The sequence below is a fragment of the Homo sapiens genome, chromosome 8 (assembly GCF_000001405.40).
Source record: "Homo sapiens chromosome 8, GRCh38.p14 Primary Assembly".
Lineage (NCBI taxonomy): Eukaryota > Metazoa > Chordata > Mammalia > Primates > Hominidae > Homo > Homo sapiens.
This window is the reverse complement of record NC_000008.11, coordinates 93,483,719-93,510,679: the sequence shown is the minus strand read 5'-3', so window position 1 is coordinate 93,510,679 and position 26,961 is coordinate 93,483,719. Positions and strand designations below refer to the sequence as shown.

Genomic DNA, 26,961 nt, shown 5'->3' with positions numbered 1-26,961 from the left:
TTGCTATAAAAAACAACCTGAGACTGGGTAACTTATAAAGAAAAGAGATTCAATTGATTCACAGTTCCACAGGCTGTACAGGAAGCATGGCTGCGGAGACCTCAGGAAACTTACAGTCATGGCAGAAGGCAAAGGGGAAGCAGGCACATCTTACATGGGCAGAGAAGGAGGACGAGAGAGCAGGGGGAGGTGCTATACACTTGTAAACAACCAGATCTCATGAGAACTCACTATCATGGGAATAGCAAGGGGGAAATCCACCACCATGATACAATGCCACCAGGCCCCTCCTCCAACACTGGGGATCACAATTCAACATAAGATTTGGGTGGGGACAGAAATTCAAACCATATCACTGTATATTAAATATCAGCATAATAATTTCTTATTTTTAATTGAAAATAAATAGAAAAAGATGTCTTAATCTTTTCTAAAGAAGTTCTCCTATTTTATTGCCTCCAAACAGTGGATTGTCTTGCCGCATACTTCAGTGATCAGTAGTCTAGGTCTTCTAAGACATAAAGGAATTAAGGCAGCTACATTAGTGATTGTATTAATATATTAATGGATGTCTGTATAGTACGGAGTGTGAGAACATGGGCTTTGCAGTCAGCAGGCTTGGGTGTCAATGCCTTGGTGAAGCTATTTAATTTTACTTTCCTCATCTGAAAATGAGCATGATAAAACTGATCTCTTACGTGGCACACAGTAAATTCTCAATAAAAGAAAGTCATTGTAGTAGTAGCTGTTGACATAACAAGGGACAAGGAGAACTAGTTATGCAGCAGACTGCTGCCAGTGCTCCCATTCTAACCCAAGGTTTACAAAGTACCAGGAAAATGAGTTTTCTGCCACCTCCATATCTTCCAAACCTTCTTCACCAGCAGCAATACTGGTGGGTAGGACAGTAGGCAAGAATTCATGCACATGAAATTACATGATTTATTATCTACATGGACTTAGCTCGGAAGCTCTGGAATATGAAACTCAAATTCTTTTCTTTATTGGTCTCACTTTGTTGATCACAAATTGGTTCCTCCTCAGACCTTCTCAAGATGGAGAAATCCAAAATCCGTGTTGCTCTGTTGATAATTACTATGTGTTCCAGTTGTTTATAATTTTTTCATTTTTTTATCATTATTTTTTCATTTTTTCATTATCTCACCAGCAGGGGAGAAGCATCCTGCTTTCTGAGGGAAGCTTTAGTGGGCCAGGGGTTGTTCAGACCTTGTTGGAGCTTCTTTACTTGATCACACATGAACACTGATATTGACTTGCTTTCATTTTGTGGTCACGAGAATGAAACATTTCCCACAGTTCAGCCTGCGGCTTCTCCCTAGTTTGCGTCTTTTTGATAAAATCACTGACTTGTGTACTTTCAAATTTAAGTCATTTTATATCTACTAAACTTGATAATTTTTACCCATCTGCTATTCAGTGAATTTTATTTCTGGTTTTTTTTTCTGTGATTGATGGGGCCCATGCAACAGTAATAATTTCCAAAAGACAGTTTTTCAAACAATTGATAACTTTCCTAATATAACCTTATCTAATATAGCACAATTTAATATTTTTCTTCTACTAATATGAGAAAAAAAAGATATCGCAAAATATATGAGCATTTAGCCTTCAAGTTTCATGTGTACTTATTCCAATCTGGCCTGAAATCCCAGCCCTCTGTGCAGATGAGCAAAGCTAATGCTATAGAGTGGGGTTTGCATAAAAATGTGAGCAAAAAAAGGCTGTAGTTGAATGTCCTCTGCCTTAGGATTGGGACTAATACTTTCTGTATTGCCAGCTTACCCTAGGCAGTAGGGGCTCCCAAAGCAATGCCAGCATCCCCACCTTTCTGCTTATTTGTACCTATTAGGTCCTGACATTTATCTGAGGCAGGAAGCTCTTCTGGTAGCATGTTTATGACCAATGTCCCCAGTCAAAATCATTTTCTTGCAGTGCCTAATTGAAATTGTGTGTGTGTGTGTGTGTGTGTGTGTGTGTGTGTGTGTGTGTGAGAGAGAGAGAGAGAGAGAGAGAGAGATTGATCCCAGGAGGACAAAAGAGGTTGCTGCCTACTGGTGGTTGGGATGCCATTCAGTGAGTATGGAGAGAAGGGTTGCCGTACAGTGTTAATTAACATTGACTGGGTGGAGACTGACCCTCTCTCCCTGAAAATTGTGTGGACTCTGGTTGAATTTCTTTTTTGTCCCTGAAAACTGTTAATTTTTTTAAAGACATAAATTTATGTGGAAGGAATCTATCCATCCATACCAAAACTTCAAAAAGCAGCTCTCACAGGAAGCTTAAGTTGAAATTCTTTGGATCTCATCACCTTTTCGAAAAGATCTTTTATACTTAGTTTAGGCCCCTGATGCCACAACACTGTGTATTTTTTCTGTTATAACTTTCGACACTCTTTATTTGCTTGTTTTATTATCTGTCTTTGCTGCCAGCCTTTAAGCTGTTTGTTCACCAGTATGTTGCCAAGGGGGCCAGCACTGTGCTTGACATTCAGTCTGGATGCAGCAGTCTGGCTATATATAAACAGTACTTCGCATATGTTTGTTGCATGTTGAGAAAGTGCTTTAGCTTTACTCCTCATAAAAAGGTCTTCAAACACATTGCTTTCATTTCATGACTTTGTCTTTAATATCATGCAAATGTGTAAGAATGATATCATGCGAATCTGTAAGAATGTGCGAAGATCTGTAAGTAGCCCACCTAGATCCATACTGAATATTCTTTACTTCTCTGACTGCTGTTGCAAGAAATATACAAGGAAGTATATTGATTTTTGTTTCTTTTGGGCTACAGCCACACACATTTCTACATAGTTTCAGATATTAACAACCAAGGCAGTCACTGGTGTTATAGTTTTGGGGGTTTTGACAACAAGTTTGGTCTACGCAGCTCGTTCATCTTTGGACATGTATCTCCATCTGCCAGGCTGAGGTGCTTTTTCTCAGAAGCATTCAAATACACTGAGCATGTGTTTGGGTTTGCAGAGATGGTGTGTCAGAATAATAATCTAAGCTGATGCCTCGGCAACAAAGAGGGCTGAGCAGAGCTCTAAGGCAGATGTAGCAAAAGCAGGACACTTTCAGGAGAGCAGCAATGACATTTCTGATGAAGGAACACAAACCTCACTCCCACCCATCCAGCTTCTCCCTTGAGACATCCATATTTTAGTAAGAAACACAGAAAAGGACTGAGATCCAGGTTTATCTGTGTCTGTGGGGATGGGGCCAATTGTATAGCCCTATCTGAAAGCCATTGAGTGCATTTCTTGAAGGGTCTACCTTTGGCTAGAGGACTACAAGTATAATCACTTTCTGTTTTCTTCATTTTCCCTCTTAACTAATTGTTTCCCTTTTCCTTCATCTGATGAAGAGAAAGCAACAAGAAACAGAACTATCATTTCCCCTGTGGTCTTAATTTGTGTTTAAGAGAAAAATAATCCAATGAATGTAATCAATGATGAATTCATGAAACCTCTTGCTTAGTGACTGGGGTTACAGCTGACGCTGTCTAAACATCAGAGCTAGGGAGTCTACCGTGCTTTCAACATGGCACAATTTTCAACTCAGAGGGTAAACATCTTTAGTAGAGTCCCTATGGAGATGGGTGAATGAATTATGTAATTGAGACCTTGCTTAAACATTCACTGTTGTAGTTGACTACAGTGTTGGTTGGAGGTCCACCTTAGACTATTTGCATGCTGATATTTTAAGAGTATCCAAGCAGGGAGGTCAGCCTGGGAAACTCATCTTACCACATGATGGATGCAGAGCACACACATCTTGCTCGGACTACTGCATTTAGCCTCCAAGTTGTTTGCATAAATCCGCTAAGCTCTAAGTTCTCATGCAGGACATGAAAAGTATCTTGAAAAGTGACTTACATTCTTCAGCTTGAAGTTGGACCACAATCTAAAACGGTTTTAAAATGATAAAAATGAGTGTCCTGGTATCATGTTTACATCATTGGCTTTAAAAAATATCAGAACCTACAGCTTCTTTGTGATTCATGAAGGATTTCTATCAAAGAGAATATTGCTGTGCGTGATTCTTAGTTCTCAAGACATGTTCGTTGCTTTTATCATGGTAGCATCAATGTAGACCTTGTTGTGCAAATGTAATTCTGAGATGGAAAACTTTAACATTTCTAACCCATCAGCACCTCCCCTCATGGGTCAAGATCTGATGATATGGAATGTTGAAGTTTCACTGCTTGCTGGAGTCATGCTTGAAGGTGATGGGTCAGGGAGGGATAGCAGAGGCCAAGTTCTAATGATTGTATTAGGCTCCCTCCTAGCCACTTCTTACCACCTGGAGAACAGAAGATTGAAACTGTTTGTTAAAAAGCAGTTTTGGAGATAATCTATGGATTTGGTGTATCTTGGTAGCTATAGGAAAGCAGACAAGATAGAGGACATTAAAGGGACCGGAAAAATAATGAAGGTCACCATGGTAGAAATGAGGGGGAGTGGATTATGTTGGCATTAATGTATATATGCCTCCTTTCTCTCTCTTCTGTTTTCCTTTCATTCTTTTTCTCTCTACTTGTCATCCTTCTCCAAGTGGAAAGATAGATCTGGGTGTGCACAAAGGCCCTGTTTTTTGATCATGTCTTCTGCCCACTATTTGTTCAGTCTACTACATATTGAAGGCACAAATTGCATCTAGTAATACTAAAGTGAACAAACCAACATAAAGTGAAGTCTTGATTTAAAGTATACATGGGGAAATTTAGTGACATTGGGGCACTCTGTAATCTGTGCGTATTGTTATAAAATAATCATTAATATTTACTGAATACCTTCTATGTGTCAACTCCAGCAGGGGCAAAGACATATAGACAGGAATTTCTATGTCACAATTGCCATAATGAAAATATGTAAAAGGCACAATTGGATGTGTCAAGAAGGAGCCTTGAAGTTTGCTTGGAGGAAATCAAGAGATAAGCTTTCATCTTGACAACTGCTGTAAAAGTTTGTCGGGGGGAACTGGGATAATACATTCTGGGCAAGGGAGCACCGTATACAATGGGAAATGTGGGACATTTGGTATGGATGGAATGTGAGCTGCAAGGCTAGAAAAGAGCATGCGATGAATAAGTAGGAAGGGACAAGATCACAGCAGATGCTATATGTTGTACTCCTTCCCCGGAGCACTGGGGGATTGTAAGCAACTAAGAAATAGATTATGAGTATGCATAAGATGGAGTGGGAAAAGTTTATACTGGAAGTAGGGAGAACATTTAGGGTATATGAGTGAGAGATCATTAAACCTAAACCAGGGCAGTGTTTTTTATAAAGAGAAAGGTATGGTTTTGAGAGAAATTTAAGAGAATAAAATGCCTAGGACTTATCAGGTAATTGAATATAGCATGTGTCTTCTAAGACAACTCAGGATTTTGGTTTGGGCAACACATAGGCAATGGTTTCTTTTTCTTTTCTTTCTTTCTTTCTTTTTTTTTTTTTTTGAAACAGAGTTTTGCTCTTGTCGCCCAGGCTGGAGTGCAATGGCGCAATCTCGGCTCACTGCAACTTTTACCTCCTGGTTAAAGCGATTCTCCTACCTCAGCCTCCCGTGTAGCTGGGATTACAGGCACCTGCCACCATGCCCGGCTAATTTTTGTATTTTTAGTAGAGACAGGGTTTTGCCACTTTGGCCAGGCTAGCATCAAACTCCTGACCTTAGGTGATCTGCCTGCCTCGGCCTCCCAAAGTGCTGGAATTAGCAGGCATGAGCCACCATGCCCAGCCCTAGGCAATGGTTTTGTTTATTCATTTGATAAATATTTATTATATATTCACTAGGTCTCAAGAAAAGTATTGGGACTACCTAGATGAAAACACATGAGACCTGCCTCCAAGGTGTTTACACTATAGTAGGAGAGACAGATACCTCAGTGGACAAATTAAATAGGGCACTTGCATAATGGAATTATGACTGTTACTTCCAATAAGGACCCTAACAAGGGGTTCTAGAGGATGTGTTCACTTATAGATGTGCGAGCTTAAGAAACCTGTGAGACAACCGATGGAGATGCAATAGATGCCTGGGGACAGAGGACCAGGACTCAGGAGACACATGCTTCAGACTAATCAGGGTAGTTCACAGCCAACATCTTGTAAGCAATGAAATAATGAGGCAGACTGGGTTGTGTCATAAGAAAAAGTGGGCAAGGAGAGAATAAGATTTTAAGGGGCCACAGAGGAAAAGATGCCAGTGAATGAGTTGGAGGAACTTGTCAGTGGGATAATGGGGAACATTTGTGTCTTATCTCCTATCGCTCTTGAAAGTCCTGCTTTGATGGAAGAGAAGCACCTTTACTATTTCCAATATCTATTGCAGTGCCTAGTATAGAGCAAGTACTTTAAAAATGTTGATTTAATTAAATGTAATATAAACATTAGGGAATTAATTCCATCCTAATGGTGTGATGAAGGAAACAGAAAGAGAGTGAAATATGCAAGATTTGAAAAGAACTGAACTTGGTATTTACGAAATTTGTGACCAGGGAAATTTTAGTTCTAGACTTTATCACTAACCACTGGGCCAGTTTGTTGTTCTTCAGTCTTGTACTATGTATCTCAGTGTCCTCTTAGTAAAATCAGGGGCTTGGGCTAAGAGACAAAGTCCTTTTTGGTTCTAAAAGTCTAAATTTAGAGACACCATTAGAGGGTCAAGCTGAAAATATGATGTGTTATCAACGGAAAGTGTCCTGTCAGTTTTCACTGATATATTATCTTATAAAACATTGAGACATTAAATATTTGATAGGGAGTGGAACTCTGGATATTGATTTTTTCCCCCTAGTCGTAAATGGCCTTTGCTTCTGAAGAATGGTAGGCATTACAGAGTTGTTTATACCAGTAGATTGCATCCCTGCAAAACGAATGTCAAACAGCGCATCTGGGTATTGTCTTGATAAATTACATGACTCAGTGATCACTGACCCACATTTTGTAATATGATTTTATAAAACCCGTGTGACAATGCTAATGGAGATAGATGCACTGTAGTTCTTATACAGTGGGAGTCAACAGTGTTCCTGGGGAAAAAATGAAAACAGGAAATGTTATTACAGATGTGCTATTATAAGATTTCATATAAAGAAAAAATGTCAGGTGGGTAGATATTCTATATAGGGAAGTTGTTAGAATTTCAAGCAAATTTACTGAATGCCAACACATACTACTACTTTGTCAAAAATAACAGTTTAATTCTGTGCTTCTAGAATCTCCACTGGCATTGCACCAGGTGTGAAATAATAGGTTTGTGCTCTGTACATATGCTGGGTGCATGATACTTTGGCTTATGTGGTCTTGGCTTGGGATTTCTGTTTTATGACTTATTTTAGTGGTGGCAGTCTGCATCTGAGGCTTCCCAGCAGAGGAAAGACTCTGACCTTAACAATGAAGAGTTTTAGACCCCCTTATGCAAGGAAGAAGAGTACCTCAAACAATAAATTCACCTGTGTTTACCAAAAAAGCAATAGGACAACTTTAAAGATTTTTTTTTTGAAACACAGCAGCTTGTATTGTTTCATCATGTAACCTGCCAAGATAGAAGGAAGAATTTAGTGAGCTTTAGAATGCAAGACGTGTTACCCCAAATCTCTTTCTAAACAGAACATCTGGATTCCCAGAGTTTTGTATGTCTGCTCCAATCCAGAGTCCAAGTTTTTGCTTATCAAAAAATTAGAAATATTGATTGGCAACTACACACAATTATAGTCACCCTTTTAATTTTATTTTAAAAATAATTGTAGGAGGCAGGACGTGGTGGCTCACACCTGTAATCCCAGCACTTTGGGAGGCTGAGGCAGGTGGATCACTTGAGGTTAGGAGTTCAAGACCAGCCTAACCAACATGGTGAAACCCCGTCTCTACTAAATATACAAAAACTAGCTGGGTGTGGTGGCACATGCCTGTAGTCCCAGATACTCAGGAGGCTGAGGAATGAGAATCACTTGAATCTAGCAGGCAGTGGCTGCAGTGAGCCGAGATCACACCACTGCACTCCAGCCTGGGTGACAGAGCAAGACTCTGTCTCAATAAATAAATGAGTAAGTAAATAAATAACTGTAGCAATCTAAAAAACACTAAGCTTATTTTTATCACCTTTTTAGAACAGAGTTTCTAGTCTCTAATTGCCAAGTGTGTATATAATATTCTGTTATTTTGCATCTTAGTCATCATTGTCAGAATCAAAATGAGGGTGGAAAGGTGAAGCCAAATTAAAAAAAAAACAACACCCAGATAATTTAGGTTCATGAAAGGATGAAAGGATTTTTTTTCTCCTGAATTTTTTTGAGGGTTTGAGGGCAAGGAAACTGATGAGGTGAGTTTCTGTCAGTTTGAAGTCTTAAGCTTAGAGCATATGCAAGCACAGAAGTGAGCCTAGAGGTCAGATGTCATCATCTGTAAGTGTTAGTTGAAGTTTGTGGGTAGGTGAGATTACTCGAGGGACAGCTTGAGGAGTGAGATAAGTAAAGCTCTGAGAGTCAAATCTTGGTAAAGATCAATTTTTAAATGGCTGGTGGAGAGAGACAAGAAAACTTAAAGAGAAGAGTCAGTCAGTCATGAGGAAAACCTTGAAGCTTAAGGCAGAAGAGAATTTCAAAAAAGAAGGGAACAGTCAACAATGACAAATGCTGCAGGGAGATAAAGTAATAATTGAACTGGAACGTGTCCATTGTATTTGTCAACCAGTAGATGTTACTGACCATTGTGAGGGTGAGTTTGGTGGAACAACCATGGCAGAAACCCAGATTGCAATGGATTGAGGAGCAAATAGAAAAAGAACAAATAGAACATACATCATTACCTTTTGAAAAAAGACTAGTTTTTCTTCAGTGAAGTTGCATTATTGCATGTGTGTGTATGTGTGGTGGTGGCAGGGTTGTAAAATGAGATTTCAAGGAGAAGGAAGAGTTTAAGAGTGTTGTAATAATGGAAAGAAAAGTCTGTTGTGATCTAAGCTGGGGCCAGTTTGGGGATTTTATGAAGACAACAGAATCTGACAAAACGCAGACAGATTAGATGCAGCATTATTCAGTAAACTTTCTTGGAAGAACATGAAGTACAAGCAAGAAAACAGAAGGAGGAAGGCAAGAGGCCCAGGGTCTGACTGAGGTTAAACACTGAAGCCCTTTAAAAAAAAGTGTTGGAAGATTGTATTATAGTCCATAACATAAGGGAATCTCAAGGTGATAGGTATGGGACAGTCATCCTCAAAGCCAGAATAAATTTGTCAGTAGCTTTGAACACTGACAATTTCCAAACAAAGAGGACTCTGGAAGCGACAGGCTGTAGAGCTGGCACAGGTAGAGTTTGGAGTAGTGGGATTGGGGTTGTAGGAAAGGGGTGGCCCCAGCAAATGTTTGAAGGATACCAGTGGCTGTGCTTGAACTCAGCCTCCATGTGAGAGGTCAGAGGTGAGTGGAGAGCCACTTTTATATTTGTTTCTTGAAATGTTTGTGATAGAGTGGCATGGTCATGGGAAAGGAAGGTTGCTCAGGGTTTATGACTAAGAAGATGGACAAAAGGGACCACTAGGTCCTACGTAAGAATTCCTTAGAAGAAACTTATCCCAAAAGCTTTGGTATCTTTGGTTATTTATGCTACAACATCTGTCATCATGGAGGTGTCAGAAATTTTAAGAAAACATGAAACATGCGGAAGAGACGTTTGGGATCCTTTAAAAGAATGGGCAATAAAAGAAGGAATCAATTCCTGAAACTGTAGGATAAATATTCAATGAAAGCAGACAAAAATGACTCTGAGGTAGCAATATTGGTGTGGAAGAGTCATTCTCCTCTAGTTCTTCAGTGACATTGAGATGGGGTAGTTATAATGAATTTTTAAAATAGGATCTCAAGGTAGGAAAAGCCAGACCTCTCTTCCAGTGTAAAAATTCCCTTTAAATACTCCTAACAAACTGAATGAACATCTCCAGGATCTTGGGTTCATTACTAGACATGTTACTAGACATGTTAGTGACCATCTCTGAGAGATGGCACAAGCCTCTCTATTGGTAGGAAGACTACAAGCTACAAGGCCACCTATTCCACTTACAAATTCGACATTCATTGTCATCCAGTGCTCTATAGTCAATTACCTCAACCACCCAAATTGTTTTTCCTTCTTTCTTTTTAATCTACAAGTACATCAGAATATTTATTTACATAGAAAAGCATTGGAAAGGAACACAAAATACAAAAGACACAAAATTATTTTCTTCTAAAAATGTCTTCCTTATATAGAGCTTTCATTTGGTGGTCCTATTTCAATCCTCTGGAGTTACTCTCTTAAAAATTAAAGGCTTCTATCCCTGTTCGGTTATATCTTTTTACCATTTTCTTATATCATGGTCCTCAAATACCTTGACATTGGGTATTTGAACCTAGAATTGGACACAGTTCCTAAATGTGAGCTGGTGGTGTTTACTGGAGCCACTGCCACATCTAGAGCCAAACACAGTGATATCACCCACACAGTCTGTGATTGATTTTCCTAGCAAGGGGGGTCACAGTCTTTAGCACAACAGGTTTTTGACTCTTGAATTTATAATTTCACATGAATTGTTATAAAGTGAGGATTTCCCATTTTATTCTTCTAGAAGAGATTATCTTTAAAACATAAATGAAGATTAAAATTTTATCTTGCTGGCATAGGCCCTTTGCTCCAGCCTGTCAAGAGCTTTCTGAATCTTGATAATGTTTCAACAATACTTTGCCTCCTTCTCAGCTTTTTGCAGTCCGTAAAAAAGACTTTGCCACAGTTCTTGATAAATACACTGAATAAAACAGAATCAAAGAACGGGCATAGAAAAATGCCAACAGAATTCTTTTTACTTGCTAACAATTTTATACATTGACATTTCATGCGACAATTTTCCAAATAGTTACAAACTGACCTTCATTGCTACACGTTCATAGTTCTCCATCATATCCACAATAATATGATGAGAGACTGTCAAATAACTTGGTGAAATCAATGTGCATTTTCTGGCTTACAATCCTCCAAAGGTTCTCTATTACTCTCAGAGTAAAGTCTAAAGTTCTTAACATGGCTTTTAGTTTGGACTCTTGTCTGTTTCTTCTACCTTTCTCTCTGCATTCCTTACTCTCCACTTTGAAGTCTATGCTTCAGTCTTCCTGAACTACCTACGGCCTCCTAAGCCACCTCGCTCTGTCAGCTTGAAGCCTTTCACCTCCTGTTTTCTCTGTCTGGCACATTCTTCACCTCCAGTTCCCAGATGTTTTGGCCTGGCTTATTCCTCTTTATGTATCCAATCCCCTTGAGATGCCAACTTCCTACAGTAGAGTTTCCTTCATCTAAGAGCTTCCTTTCATCTTTCCCCATTGCACCCATGCTGAACCCCATGAAGACTGACCTTGTGTTCTTTTCAACTTCTCCCACTCCTGCTAGACTTAAATCCCCTTGAAGGCGACGACTGTGTCTTGTCTGGCATTTTATCCCAAAGGCCTATTATGGTAAACAGCACATAGCAGGGACTCAATACATTTCTTCCTTTAAATCAATCCTGACAGGTGTTTGAATAAAATCTGCCTGTAATATTCTTTCCATCTCCTTCTAATATAGTAAGCGCATAAAAATAATTTGTCATGAATTATTTTTGGCTACCTTATGCTGGCCTTTGGTGATTGCCTCTTTCCCTACTAAGTGCATACACATAATCGAGTTAAGAATACATTTTAAAATGTTGCTGGGCATGAAAGTCAAACTCATCTGGCTTTAGATTATGAAATCCCTCTTTTTGAAATCTAAGGCATTTGCTTAGCTCTGATCTTCTGGCAATTTTCCCATTCCCTCTGATTTTTTTTTTCCCAGGACACGAGCAGCTGCAATAACAGCTGCAAATTGTTTTAATTGTCTTAGATGTAATGCATCTGGACTTGAACACATTTTAAAGCTGTTAGACACTCTCTTACTATCTCCCCTACTAGGATTTGTGTTCTGTCCTTTGTAGTCAGAGTATCTTTCTCTTTCACGGAGAAGAAATGGAATCAAACCAGAAAGAGAATTGTTCTGCTTTTTTTCTTTTATCATCTTTAAATGGACTCATCTATTCTTTTGTCTTATTATTAAAAACACAACTTTAAAACACAAGAACAACATTATTTTGGTCTCATCTAAACTGAGATCTGGAAGTTTTTCCCAGCAAGGTTGGTGGAGGCAGGTGGGGTGGGGGGCGGGAATCTAAATGGATAGACATGAAATGGAGATCATTGTGGGTACCCAAGATCTGCTTGGTTCCAGACATTTCAATAGATGGGGATGTTGCTACAAACATAATTTATTCCCCATCCTTAAAGAGCTCATGGTCAGATAGCGGGTGTTAAAGGCCATAATGGCATATTTCAGTTAGCTGTGAATCTACCTTGGTTAAAAAGAGAGGTGCTAGTAAAACAATTGTCTATTTTGTACAATTTAGTTTTATTTCCTTACATTCATCCATATATCTTTTAAGTCATGGCTCTCAACCATGGATTGAGAATTCCGCAGGGATTCTGAACTGGGTAGCAACAAAGTAGGTAGATTTGTAACTATTTGGGAACTTTGCTAACACAATATAATCAGAACCAACTTAATCAGAATCTCTGTGGGTTGAAGCCTAGGTGGCAGTATTTATTAAAGCTCCCACAGAGATTGTAGATTCAGAGAGGTGAGAAACACTGTCTTAAGCATTACTATGTGTATAAATAGTGCTGTGCCAGGGGCTGAGGAAGATCTATACTGTCTTATGTAATACAAAGGCCTTGTTCATCAAGAGGTTATACTCTATGTGAGTAGACAAGGCGTGCACATGGAAAAGAGCAAAGTAAAACGTCAAGGTAGTGTGTCATATGGTTAAGAGCCAAAGTGAGAGGTAGAAGCAAAAAATGTCATGGAAATTATAGGAAAAAAGAAATCGATTATGGATTAGAGTTGTGAGAGGAGTGGGACTTTGAAGAACATACAGGATCTAGGTAGGTAGTAGGACAGGGGCATGTAGTTCTGACAGGAAGCACATAAATGAGCAAAACTTAATGTCAGGAATGTGTGTGGAATATCCTGAGCATCTTATTGACCAGATGCGCCAGCATTGACTGGAAATTTTATTTTGGAGAGCAGTCAGACTAAGTTTATGGAATTAAGACTGAAGCTTGAGCTATTCATAAAGATGTAGCAAAAAATAATTCTGAAAAGTTGGGGCCAATTGTAAATGGACGAATTAATTAAAAAAATTCGATCAGTAGTAGGGAAACTATGGAAGATTTTTAGCAGTGAAAAGGCATGATCAGAGCTGTGCTGATGTTTTGCATGTTATTTTGAGGTACTTTTACTTTAAAGTATAGGTAATACTTTTTTTTTTAAAGAACTTAACCATAATCTGTAAACATCCTCAAACCTTTTTCAAATTAGCAAATGTTTTGTCATTGATCAGCCTCAGCTTTGGCATTAATTAAGTGCAGAATCTGCAATACAAATTCAGTAAAGGAGGCCAGGCGTGGTGGCTCATGCCTATAATCCCAGCACTTTGGGAGGCCAAGGCAGGTGAATCACCAGAGGACAGGAGTTCAGGACCAGCCTGGTCAACATGGTGAAACTTCGTCTCTACTAAAAATACAAAAATTAGCCGGGCGTGGTGGCATGCCTGTAGTCCCAGCTATTTGGGAGGCTGAGGCAGGAGAATAGCTTGAACCCCGGGAGGTGGAGGTTGCAGTGAGCCGAGATCGTGCTACTGCACTCCAGCCTGGGCGACAGAGCAAGACTGTGTCTCAAAAAAAAAAAAAAAAAAAAAAAGTAAAGTAGAGAGCAAGCCAGATCTCACGGCCAAATGAAAGTACGGTAATGCTCTGATTTGCCTGCGTCAGTGGTGTGCTGGTAAATGTATAACAACCACCTCTCCAGGAGAAAAAAAGCCCTGATTTATAGTGTTTACTGATTTCCATGGTGTAAATACTACCACGATGACGAATTTCAAAGGTACTATCGGTTTAAAAATGTTTGCAATATTCCTGAAAACTTGACATTGACTCTCACAAACTGGTATGAGCTGTTCCCCAGCACGGCACTCTTTGTGTTTACATTACTTCTCTCATCATAACGGTTTGTCTCTGGGAAGATGGGCATTCAGGTATGGAAAATTTGCCTTTGAAAGTTAATATTCGGTTTACTGTAAATTTATGTAATGCATTTTTAAAAGGGGGGATTAAATGATTAAAAAGAGAAAATCCTAACACTTTCAATGTAGGATAATCGAAAGAATATTTGGACATCCAAGTCTCAGAAAATGCCATTGCAGAAGCGTCTTGCACTGAGGGAGGGGCCCTGTAGTGCTCAGGGGGCTGGGCGGAGCTCTTCTCACCTTAGTTTGGTGGTGTTTCCAGTGGAGCAGTGAAGGGTTTAAAAAGCCTGGCAAAAAATATGCATACGGTGAATCAATCAGATTTCCACGCAAGGGTGCTCTGCTTGCCCCCCGAGGAATCCTGGGCAATCTTATTCCCTGAAGCTCTGGCCCCTGCTGCACTAGATCCTTGCAGCGTTGGCCTCTGGGCCCCCTCCCGCTTAGTTCCCGGATAAAAGCAGCCCGGCCGCACCTGCCTTGCCAGTGCAAACTCTGCAAGACTCCCAACGCCATCAGCCCTAGTCTGATTGCAGTCGCCTGTTCACAGCCCCGAATCATTCACAGCGCCAATTAGCCCGGGCTGGGTCCTCCGGCAGAGCGGGGGCGAGCGCGCGGGAGTCCATTTCCAGCGCCCTGACGCCAGCTGAGTCCCGCGCCCGGTAACGCGGGCTTTCAAGGGCAAGGCCGCCGCCGCGTCCCTCCGTGTCAGCGCATTTCCCTTTCTTCCCCGCTTCAAGAACAACTGAAGTGTGGGTAGGAGAGCCATTTAGTCCCAACTAAAGACGAAAATGTTTTTTCCTTCTGATAATGTTCCCTGTTCCGTCACTCGGTATTATGCTCCATAATGTGCCGCGTGCAGCCATTTTGTCATCGCTTTGGGTCATCCTTGCTCACAATTGGTTATTTACTCAGGGGCTTTTGAAATTATTGAGTTGACACATCTGTCAGACGGCAAAAGCAGAAATGCTAAAAGGTCACTTGGAGAGAAACCAGCTGCTCCAGACAAACCTTTCTGCCTCCAAATAGCACAATCATTACAGCCTGGCAGATGGGGCCTTCGCTTTCACTTCAGACGCTCCCCTTGCCTTCAGGTATTTAGCTACCCTACCTCATTGCCAGGTCAGCCGGGCCTCCCTGTAATTACCCACACAATAGGCATCTCTCTGCTTAAGAAGAACAGCTCTATTTTCTCTAAATAGGAAACCAGTTTCCTCACGGATATGAGCTACCCAACGCTTGCCACAAACTTTCCTGTTAACAGATTCGTTTTGACAGTGGTAAGTATGTTTCTATTACTTCTGCAGCCTTCATTACACCCTGAAATGTGAGGCTCGGTCTGATGGAACGGTTTGGAGGGCTTCTGAGGGTCTCCGAGTAGATGGCACCTGGGGAGTACGGCTGAGATTTCCTTTCCCCTCCACCTGAGTCTGCCTCGTCCTCCCCTCGCTCACCTCTTTGCATGCCTCTGAGGCTGTGTGGGGAGGAACAGGGCCAAAGGCCATGCCTGTCTGTGCTGCTCCACTGGAAGGTTTCATGGAGATGCCTTTTTCAGGTAGCCTGACTTATGTGTGAATGTGCGTGTGTGTGCGTGTGTGCGTGCGCCTATGGCAGTGGGAGAGAAAGTAAAATAAAAATCAAAACAAGCTGATGTTGAACTTCAATCATATAGGGAGCGAAAGGAAATTCTTCCATGATCAGATACTTGCAAACTCTGTTTTAGGGGACAATTAATATGTCAGCAGTTGTAATAACATCATCTTAATCTTTCAGAGTAATAACAAATAAATTGATCAACATAAGGATGTGTCTCTCAACCTGGAGTGGTAGTGGGGTGATTGTTAGAAACCTGAGTTTAAACCTGGCTCTTTTCCCTGAGGTAGTAATATTACCAGAGGTAAGATAAAACTTTTCTCTGTCGTTAGGGGGATGCTTCAGTAGGTAAGTTTAAAAAGCACTGCATTGAGCTACCTGTATGAGGCTGAGAGTGAAAGGGGGTTTGGGAGTTGCCACATGATTACAATTAAAGTTCTAAAATCATCACAGATTGAGTAGGTGAGGTGATCTCAATATCCCCTTTCAGCCTGTTGGAACATCACATGTAAATGAATGGGAACCCCGAGACTTCATTTGGAAAATGCTATCAAAGAGCTTCAAACAGAAAAAGAATAGCAAAACCATTAACAGCCTAATACCTTGGCAACTAATGATTGATGCCCCCAGATTGATGATTTGCTTTTAGTTTCCCCCGATCTGCTATCTTGCCTGTTAGTCTTCAGTTTCTATCTGTGCATTTTCTTAATTCTATCTTTTATTCTGGAGGTTAAACAAGTGACTTGCAGTTGGCTTTATGGTCTGTAAGCTGCAAGAGTAACTGTTATTAGCAGCCAAAAAAGGGAGCTTCATACATTGTATCTCCATTACCCTACAATGATTCAATAAAGTCTTGTTATATACCATAGTCTGAGCTTAGCTGTGAATCAAGAAATGGTGAGAAGTTGAGAACTCTGATAGCTTGTGTCAATATGACCTATTATTTCTAGGAAATTCTTTCTCAACAAGATAAAACTGTAAACCAGTAAATAACTTTACTGTTTGCTTTAGGAAATTCTTGCAAATTAATTTATCTGGGCAAAGCATTTGGTTATCTAGGCAAACAGTTCTATCAGAATGATAGGTTTCCTCATCTAAGCAACGGTTCACTTTTCAGATAACGATTTATCACAACTTGCTTCAAGACATGAGTGTTGCTGTATTCACCAATTCTAAACTACTATGTCATAAACATTGTCTAATCTCAATTAGTTCTCCAACTTGAAAGAATCCCCCTTAAGCCAAGTCATAGAATTCTAGAAATATCCATTTTCTGATCTGCATCCTCTGAGACCAAGTAAGTCCTTGTCATGGTGGTATTCTTTACAGCGGTTAAGTCCGATAAACTTCGCTTTGCTCAATCACCAGGTTTTTCTGGTGGTCTTTTTGGGGGAGCTGATGATTAACAAAGTGGACTGGTGTCCAATCTTGAAGCAAATCAGTACAGGAAGAGAAAACACCCCAAAGAGACCCTAGGGAAGTTCTGATACAGCAGTATTTCAGAACATGGGTAATAGGGCGAAGTTAAGATACATTTTGGAGCATATGGGTACTCCACTGGGGTTCCCAGAAATTATATATGGAGGAAACTTGGTTAAAAAAATAGACTTCCTGTGATTCATGGGACAGGATTCAGTCATTATAATTTTAATATTAAATAATAAATGATCTTATTTTGAGATCACTAGCTGTTGAAGCCTAGGGGCATATGGATTCTTAGGCAGAAAGGATATAGTTTGGAGTTTTCGAGGAGGAGGACCTATGGGAGAAGGGAACGGTAACAGGAAAGACTTTATGTAGGAGGTAGGTGGCATTTGGGATAGGCCTTGAAGAATGGTTGAGTTTCTGTGTGTGTGTATGTGTGTGGTTATTTGGGAAGTGGGTGGTGAGGGCATTTGCGTTTGGAATGGAGTAAGTGAGAGATAAAGTGGTTAAGGGAATGGGCATGTAATTCAGAGGCCTGGATTTGAAACCTAATTCCAACACTTAGTATGTTATAGGTAACCATAGGCAAGTTGCTTAACTTCTTTGAGGGGGGATATGATACCTACTTTATTAATGTGTTTCTATGGATAAAGGGAGATAATGTTTGTAAAGGGATTAGAGATTATGTGGATGTAGTGAAGACTCAATAGGTGGTGGCTATTACTATCATTCGTTATTATCATTACAGGGTAACATAAGTAACAGAAAAGAGAATGGAAAGAAAACTTAGGGCATATTCAGAGAAAGACTGAAGCTTGAGCTAGTCATAAGAATATAATAGAAAGCAATTTTGAAAAACTTGGGACTAATTGCAAAGAGCCCTGAATTTATTTTAAAAAAATTATTCATTTGGCAGCAGGGAGCCTATGAAGGTTTTTTTTTTTTTTTTTTTTTTTTAGCAGAGGGAAGGCATGATCAGAGGCATGCTGGATGCACAGGATGGGTGACATTGGAGAAAAGACCAAAGTTAGGGAGACCAATGAACTAACTAGTAGACTAAAAAACCAGTAGGAAGTAACCAGGGTGGTGTTTCTAATATTGAAAATAAAGAATAAATACAAAGGAGACTGTGGAAAGGTTTTTAGGTTAAAATTTTCTTTTGTTCATTCAACTGTCTAAAACACATCCAATGAATTTTATCAAGACTTTAAGTTCATCATGCTGGCATCACAGTTTATGCTTGGATCCCAAGGACATACTGGGAAGGTGAAATGAATGCACAGAAAAAGCGATGAGTGAATACACCTGAACGCTGTCTAGTTTATAATATATTTATACTGCCTAAGAAGTGACCATAGGATTAGGGCCCTTAAAGTAGTAGAGTATGATGCTTCGTTTTACTGTGGTTCTGCAAATTCTAACCTTGTCTTTTTATTATATAGGTAGTTAAATTTGATGCCCTCCCCATCCTTTTGAGTTCGTATCAATTTGGGAAGGAAGCATTAGCAAATCTACTGAATATAGTATTTTTTGAATCAATTCTTGCCATGCTTTATTTATTGGCACTTAAATTTATTTAATTAGTAGGCGCTAATTTGCACTAAACAGAAAGCCAGGACTCAGAGCAAGAATCAGGTGACGCTTATGTTAGCCTAATTGGTTAGATCTGTGTTAATTATCAGGTAACTTGGCTAAATAATAAAGCCATTCCCAGACAAGGACAAAGTGATTTTAAAAGTCTCTCTTAACAAGGCCTCACTTTTCTAGAACAATCTAGCAGCCTTGAGAGCCACAACGTGTTATCAATATTTACAGTGGCCTTTGTTAGAGAGTCTATTTTTAGATGAAGGCTTGGAATTAAGGCTCAGGATTTAAGGTCAGAAGATACAAATCAGAGTAAGTGGAAGATGCACAAGGAAGGGAGATCAGCTTCAAGGGTTTGGATGATATTTAGAAAAGAAATGAAGAAAATAATGTATTTTATGCTTAAATAATTATGCCTTTGAAGAGACTGAGAACAATCTAGATAAAATCCAAACCACCTTCAAGGATTAATCAACAAAAGATAACACCTCCCCTCACAGATTGGGATCATATTGCACCTATGATGTGGTTTTCTGATCCTTTTACTTAACACACTATGAACATTTTTCCCCATGGTATTAATTATTCCTAAAACCCACTTGCTTAACTTTACAATTAAACTAGATAAATTATAGATAACATTTTAGCTTTTTATATGAGGAGGGAAATAACGAATAAGAACAGGGCGAAGAGGGTATCTGTAGGGTCCAAATGGTTGAGTAGAAGTGCTCCATGCAGAAAAGAGGGAGGGAGCCCATCTCTCCTTCATTCAGCCTGGGAAATTAATTAATGATGTTAAGAGGGCAAGGTATGAAGCTATATTAACCAAATTGAACCTTATTCAGATTTCTTACTCCAGAGCAGAAGCCATTCAATAATCTTTTTGTCTTTAGATATTTAATTTGTTAATAACAACAACAAAAAAATGGCCAGTGAGCCAAATTTAGCCCCTTGCTTGTTTTTGTGCAAGCCGTAAGCTAAGAATGTTTTTATATTTTTAAATGATAAAAAAATCAAAAGAGAAAAATATTTTGTGACATTAAAATGACACGAAATTCAAATTTCAGTGTCCATAAATGAAGTTTTATTGGAACACTGCTATACCCGTTTAGTTACATATTGTCTGGCTGCTTTCTTGCTACGATGGTGAGTTCAGTAGTTGAGGCAGAGACTGTATGGCCTGAAAAGGTTAAAGTATTTACTGTTTAGCCCTTTAGAGAAAAAGTTCATCCACCCTTGCTCTAGAAGGTAAATGTTTATCCTCATATCCACATGTCTTCTTGGAATTTTAAAGGGAATTGCAGGCCCTTAATAACAACTTCCTGACATCAGAACCTTGGCTACCAATTGAATATCCACTTGTTATTGAGAATGTTTGTTTCAAATAATTAACCACTACTGATAAGACAATTTCAGCCTGGACTACTTTGACATGGCCAAGTGCTCATACTGTATAGTCTTCTGTCTCACTTCTGGGTTGTCAGGGCTACATATGATCACACATTTAGAATTATTCATTAAGGAAAAATCAACTTTCATTTGGTATTTTATGAAGCTCAGAAAGAACCTTAAAATATTATGTTAACATAGAATGATATGATTTTAATGACTTTGCAAAGCACCTTGAGAGATCTTGGCTGATAATGAGAACTGAATATGTAGTGGGCAAAACTATATGTCGGCCAGTTGTTTATTCAAACACAGACTGGAAGATAAAATTATGTGTCGATTGTACCATCTGATTGCTGTCTTTCTTTCTCACCATGCATGTGCGCATGCACACACACACACACACACACACACACAATAGATGAAATACAAACTGACCACTCTATAGACAGTAGTGACTCTTATTCATGCACTATAGTATGTATTTTCATAATGAGACAGTAGCATTATGACTTATTTACCAACGCTTGCTTTTATTGACTATTCATTATTCATTAAATATGGGGAGAACAACAATTTCATGTTTAGTGTGTCATAAGCACTTAATAACAGTTACTCATCACCAGCACCAGTACCAGCAGCCAGTTGGCTAACGTAAGTATATGTCCAGATAATATTTGGGAGGCCAACTGGCTCTTAGTGGCACAACTGGAGAACAGACCAGAGGATAGAATTCAAATCGTGCTGATGTGTCTCTAATAAGATCTTGTGATATGTAAAACCAAAAGTAAGCTGTTTTCAGTGTATGTAGAGTAACTGAGATAGTGAGAGATATGATTGCTTGTATATGGAGTTTTTGTTTGTTTGTTTATTTTTTGAGATGGAATCTCACCCTGTCACCCAGGCTGGAGTGCAGTGGCACTATCTCAGCTCACTGCAACTTCTGCTGCCCGGGTTCAAGCGATTCTCCTGCCTCAGCCTCCCAAGTAGCTGGGATTACAGGCTAATTTTTCTAGTTTTAGTAGAGACGGGGTTTCACCATTTTGGCCAGGCTGGTCTTGAACTCCTGACCTCGTGATCCACCCACCTTGGCCTCCCAAAGTGTTGGGATTACAGGCGTGAGCCACCGCACCTGGCCATATATCAGAGTTTTATTTATTTATTTATTTATATTATACTTTAAGTTCTAGGGTACATGTGCACAACATGCAGGTTTGTTACATATGTATACATGTGCCATGTTGGTGTGCTGCACCCATTAACTTGTCATTTACATTAGGTATATCTCCTAATGCTGTCCCTCCCGACTTCCCCCATCCCACGACAGGCCCTGGTGTGTGCTGTTCCCCATCCTGGGTCCAAGTGTTCTCGTTGTGCAATTCCCACCTATGAGTAAGAACATGCAGTGTTTGGTTTTCTGTCCTTGCAATAGTTTGCTCAGAATGATGGTTTCCAGCTTCATCCATGTCCCTACAAAGGACATGAACTCATCCTTTTTTATGGCTGCATAGTATTCCATGATGTATATGTGCCACATTTTCTTAATCCAGACTATCATTGGTGGACATTTGGGTTGGTTCCAAGTCTTTGCTATTGTGAATAGTGCTGCAATAAACATACTTGTGCATGTGTCTTTATAGCAGAATGATTTACAATCCTTTGGGTATATACCCAGTAATGGGATGGCTGGGTCAAATGGTATTTCTAGTTCTAGATCCTTGAGGAATCGCCACACTGTCTTCCACAATGGTTGAACTATTTTACAGTCCACCAACAGTGTAAAAGTGTTCCTATTTCTCCACATCCTCCCCAGCACCTGTTGTTTCCTGACTTTTTAATGATCGCCATTCTAACTGGTGTGAGATGGTATCTCATTGTGGTTTTGATTTGCATTTCTCTGATGGCCAGTGATGACGAGCATTTTTTCATGTGTCTGTTGGCTGCATAAATGTCTTCTTTTGAGAAGTGTCTCTTCATATCCTTTGCCCACTTTTTGATGGGGTTGTTTGATTTTTTCTTGTAAATTTGTTTAAGTTCTTTGTAGAATCTGGATATTAGCCCTTTGTCAGATGGGTACTTGTAAAAATTTTCTCCCATGCTGTAGGTTGCCTGTTCACTCTGATGGTAGTTTCTTTTGCTGTGCAGAAGCTCTTTAGTTTAATTAGATCCCATTTGTCTATTTTGGCTTTTGTTGACATTGCTTTTGGTGTTTTAGTCATGAAGTCCTTGCCCATGCCTATGTCCTGAATGGTATTGCCTAGGTTTTCTTCTAGGGTTTTTATGGTTTTAGGTCTAACACTTAAGTGTTTAATCCATCTTGAATTAATTTTTGTATAAGGTGTAAGGAAGGGATCCAGTTTCAGCTTTCTACATATGGCTACCCAGTTTTCCCAGTACCATTTATTAAATAGGGAATCCTTTCCCCATTGCTTGTTTTTGTCAGGTTTGTCAAAGATCAAATGGTTGTAGATGTGTGGTATTATTTCTGAGGGCTGTGTTCTGTTCCATTGGTCTATATCTCTGTTTTGGTACCAGTACCATGCTGTTTTGGTTACTGTAGCCTTGTAGTATAGTTTGAAGTCAGGTGGCGTGATGCCTCCAGCTTTGCTCCTTTGGCTTAGGATTGACTTGGCAATGCGGGCTCTTTTTTGGTTCCATATGAACTTTAAAGTAGTTTTTTCCAATTCTGTGAAGAAAGACAATGGGAGCTTGATGGGGATGGCATTGAATCTATAAATTACCTTGGGCAGTATGGCCATTTTCACGATATTGATTCTTCCTATCCATGACCATGGAATCTTCTTCCGTTTGTGTGTGTCCTCTTTTATTTCATTGAGCAGTGGTTTGTAGTTTTCCTTGAAGAAGTCCTTCACATCCCTTGTAAGTTGGATTCCTAGATATTTTATTCTCTTTGAAGCAATTGTGAATGGGAGTTCACTCATGATTTGGCTCTCTGTTTGTCTGTTATTAGTGTATAAGAATGCTTGTGATTTTTGCACATTGATTTTGTATCCTGAGACTTTGCTGAAGTTGCTTATCAGCTTAAGGAGATTTGGGGCTGAGATGATGGGGATTTCTAAATATACAATCATGTCATCTGCAAACAGGGACAATTTGACTTCCTTTTTTCCTAATTGAATACCCTTTATTTCTGTCTCCTGCCTGATTGACCTGGCCAGAACGTCCAACACTGTGTTGAATAGGAGTGGTGAGAGAGGGCATCCCTGTCTTGTGCCAGTTTTCAAAGGGAATGCTTCCAGTTTTTGCTCATTCAGTATGGTATTGGCTGTGGGTTTGTCATAAATAGCTCTTGTTATTTTGAGATATGCCCCATGAATACCTAATTTATTGAGAGTTTTTAGCATGAAGCGCTGTTGAATTTCGTCAGAGGCCTTTTCTGCATCTATTGAGATAATCATGTGGTTTTTGTCTTTGGTTCTGTTTATATGATGGATTACGTTTTTTGATTTGCATATGTCGAACTAGCCTTGCATCCCAGGGATGAAGCCAACTTGATCATGGTGGATAAGTTTTTTGATGTGCTGCTGGATTTGGTTTTGCCAGTATTTTATTGAGGGTTTTCGCATTGATGTTCATCAGGGATATTGGTCTAAAATTCTCTTTTTTTGTGCGTCTCTGCCAGGCTTTGGTATCAAGATGATGCTGGCCTCATAAAATGAGTTAGGGAGGATTCCCTGTTTTTGTATTGACTGGAATAGTTTCAGAAGGAATGGTACCAGCTCCTCTATGTACCTCTGGTAGAATTCGAGTGTGAATCCGTGTGGTCCTGGACTTTTTTTGGTTGGTAGGCTCTTAATTATTGCGTCAATTTCAGAGCCTGTTATTGGTCTATTCAGGGATTCAACTTCTTCCTGGTTTAGTCTTGGGAGGGTGTATGTGTCCAGGAATTTATTCATTTCTTCTAGATTTTCTAGTTTATTTGCATAGAGGAGTTTATAGTATTCTGTGATGGTAGTTTGTATTTCTGTGGGATCAGTGGTGATATACCCTTTATTATTTTTTATTGCATCTATTTGATTCTTCTCTCCTTTCTTTTTTATTCGTCTTGCTAGCAGTCTGTCAATTTTGTTGATCTTTTCAAAAAACCAGCTCCTGAATTCATTGATTTTTTCGAAGAGTTTTTTATGTCCCTATCTTCTTCATTCTGCTCTGATCTTAGTTATTTCTTGCCTTCTGCTAGCTTTTGAATGTGTTTGCTCTTGTTTCTCTAGTTCTTTTAATTGTGATGTTAGGGTGTCAATTTTAGATCTTTCCTGCTTTCTCTTGCGGGCATTTAGTGCTATAAATTTCCTTCTACACACTGCTTTAAATGTGTCCCAGAGATTCTGGTACGTTGTGTCTTTGTTCTCATTGGTTTCAAAGAACATCTTCATTTCTGCCTTCATTTTGTTATGTACCCAGTAGTCATTCAGGAGCAGGTTGTTCAGTTTCCATGTCGTTGTGTGGTTTTGAGTGAGTTTCTTAATCCTGAGTTCTAGTTTGATTGCACTGTGTTCTGAGAGACAGTTTGTTATAATTTCTGTTCTTTTACATGTGCTGAGGAGTGCTTTGCTTCCAACTACATGCTAAATTTTGGAATAAGTGTGATGTGGTGCTGAGAAGAATGTATATTCTGTTGATTTTGGGTGGAGAGTTCTGTAGATGTCTATTACGTCTGCTTGATGCAGAGCTGAGTTCAATTCCTGGATATCCTTGTTAACTTTCTGTCTCGTTGATGTGTCTAATGTTGACAGTGGGGTGTTAAAGTCTCCCATTATTATTGTGTGGGAGTCTAAGTCTCTTTGTAGGTCTCTAAGGATTTGCTTTATGAATCTGGGTGCTCCTGTATTGGGTGCATATATATTTAGGATAGTTAGCTCTTCTTGTTGAATTGATCCCTTTACCATTATGTAATGGCCTTCTTTGTCTCTTTTGATCTTTGTCAGTTTAAGGTCTGTTTTATCAGAGACTAGGATTGCAACCCCTGCTTTTTTTGTTTTCCATTTGCTTGGTAGATCTTCCTCCATCCCTTTATTTTGAGCCTATGTGTGTCTTTGCACGTGAGATGGGTCTCCTGAATACATTACACTGATGGGTCTTGACTCTTTATCCAATGTGCCAGTCTGTGTGTTTTAATTGGAGCATTTAGCCCATTTACATTTAAGGTTAATATTGTTATGTGTGAATTTGATCCTGTCATTATGACGTTAGCTGGTTATTTTGCTTATTAGTTGATGCAGTTTCTTCCTAGCATCGATGGTCTTTACAATTTGGCATGTTTTTGGAGTGTCTGGTACGGGTTGTTCCTTTCCATGTTTAGTGCTTCCTTCAGGAGTTCTTGTAAGGCAGGCCTGGTGGTGACAAAATCCCTCAGCATTTGCTTGTCTGTAAAGGATTTTATTTCTCCTTCATTTATGAAGCTTAGTTTGGCTGGATATGAAATTCTGGGTTGAAAATTCTTTTCTTTAAGAACGTTGAATATTGGCCCCCACTCTCTTCTGGCTTGTAGAGTTTCTGCCGAGAGATCAGCTGTTAGTCTGATGGGCTTCCCTTTGTGGGTAACCCGACCTTTCTCTCTGGCTGCCCTTAACATTTTTTCCTTCATTTCAACTTTGGTGAATCTAACAATTATGTGTCTTGGAGTTTCTCTTCTCGAGTAGTATCTTTGTGGTGTTCTCTGTATTTCCTGAATTTGAATGTTGACCTGCCTTGCTAGGTTGGGGAAGTTCTCCTGATAATATCCTAAAGAATGTTTTCCAACTTGGTTCCATTCTCCCCATCACTTTCAGGTATACCAGTCAGAAGTAGATTTGGTCTTTTCACATAGTCCCATATTTTTTGGATGATTTGTTCATTTCTTTTTACTCCTTTTTCTCTAAACTTCTCTTCTCACTTCATTTCATTCATGTGATCTTCAATCACTCATACCCTTTCTTCCACTTGATTGAATCGGCTACTGAAGCTTGTGCATGCATCACGTAGTTCTCGTGCCATGGTTTTCAGCTCCATCAGGTCATTTAAGGTCTTCTCTATGCTGTTTATTCTAGATAGCCATTCATCTAATCTTTTTTCAAGGTTTTTAGCTTCTTTGTGATGGGTTCGAACATCCTCCTTTAGCTCGGAGAAGTTTGCTATTACTGATTGACTGAAGCCTTCTTCGTCAAAGTCATTCTCTATCCAGCTTTGTTCCATTGCTGGTGAGGAGCTGCGTTCCTTTGGAGAAGAAGAGGCACTCTGATTTTTAGAATTTTCAGCTTCTCTGCTTTGGTTTCTCCCCATCTTTGTGGTTTTATCTACCTTTGGTCTTTGATGATGGTGACATACAGGTAGAGTTTTGGTGTGGATGTCTTTTCTGTTTGTTAGTTTTCCTTCTAACAGTCAGGATCCTCAGCTGCAGATCTGTTGGAGTTTGCTGGAGGTCCACTCCAGACGCTGTTTGCCTGGGTATCACCAGTGGAGGCTGCAGAACCACAAATATTGCAGAACAGCAAATGTTGCTGCCTGATCCTTCCTCTGGAAGCTTCGTCTCAGAGCGGCACCCGGACGCAGGAGGTGTCAGTCAGCCCCTACTGGTAGGTGCCTCCCAACAAGGCTACTCCGGGGTCAAGGACCCACTTGAGAAGGCAGTCTTTCCGTTCTCAGATCTCAAACTCTGTGCTGGGAGAACCACCACTGTCTTCAAAGCTGTCAGACAGGGACGTTTAAGTCTGCAGAAGTTTCTGCTGCCTTTTGTTCAGCTATGCCCCGCCTCCAGAAGTGGAGTCTACAGAGGCAGGCAGGCCTCCTTGAGCTGTGGTGGACTCCACCCAGTTTAGCTTCCTGGCTGCTT

The 26,961-nt window shown here is 39.8% G+C and overlaps 2 long non-coding RNA genes across 2 annotated transcripts in view; one reads left to right on the top strand and one right to left on the bottom strand.

Annotated features, from left to right (window-relative positions):
- Window positions 1-26,961, top strand: part of CIBAR1-DT (CIBAR1 divergent transcript) — a 353,967-nt gene that overhangs the window by 189,754 nt on the left and 137,252 nt on the right. The window lies entirely within an intron of this gene.
- On the bottom strand, window positions 6,969-14,699 carry LOC105375641 (uncharacterized). Its single transcript, XR_928412.4, has 4 exons — window positions 14,617-14,699; window positions 14,385-14,431; window positions 11,406-11,497; window positions 6,969-7,056 (listed from the first exon to the last, which is right to left on the bottom strand). It is a non-coding gene; the product is annotated as an uncharacterized LOC105375641 (long non-coding RNA).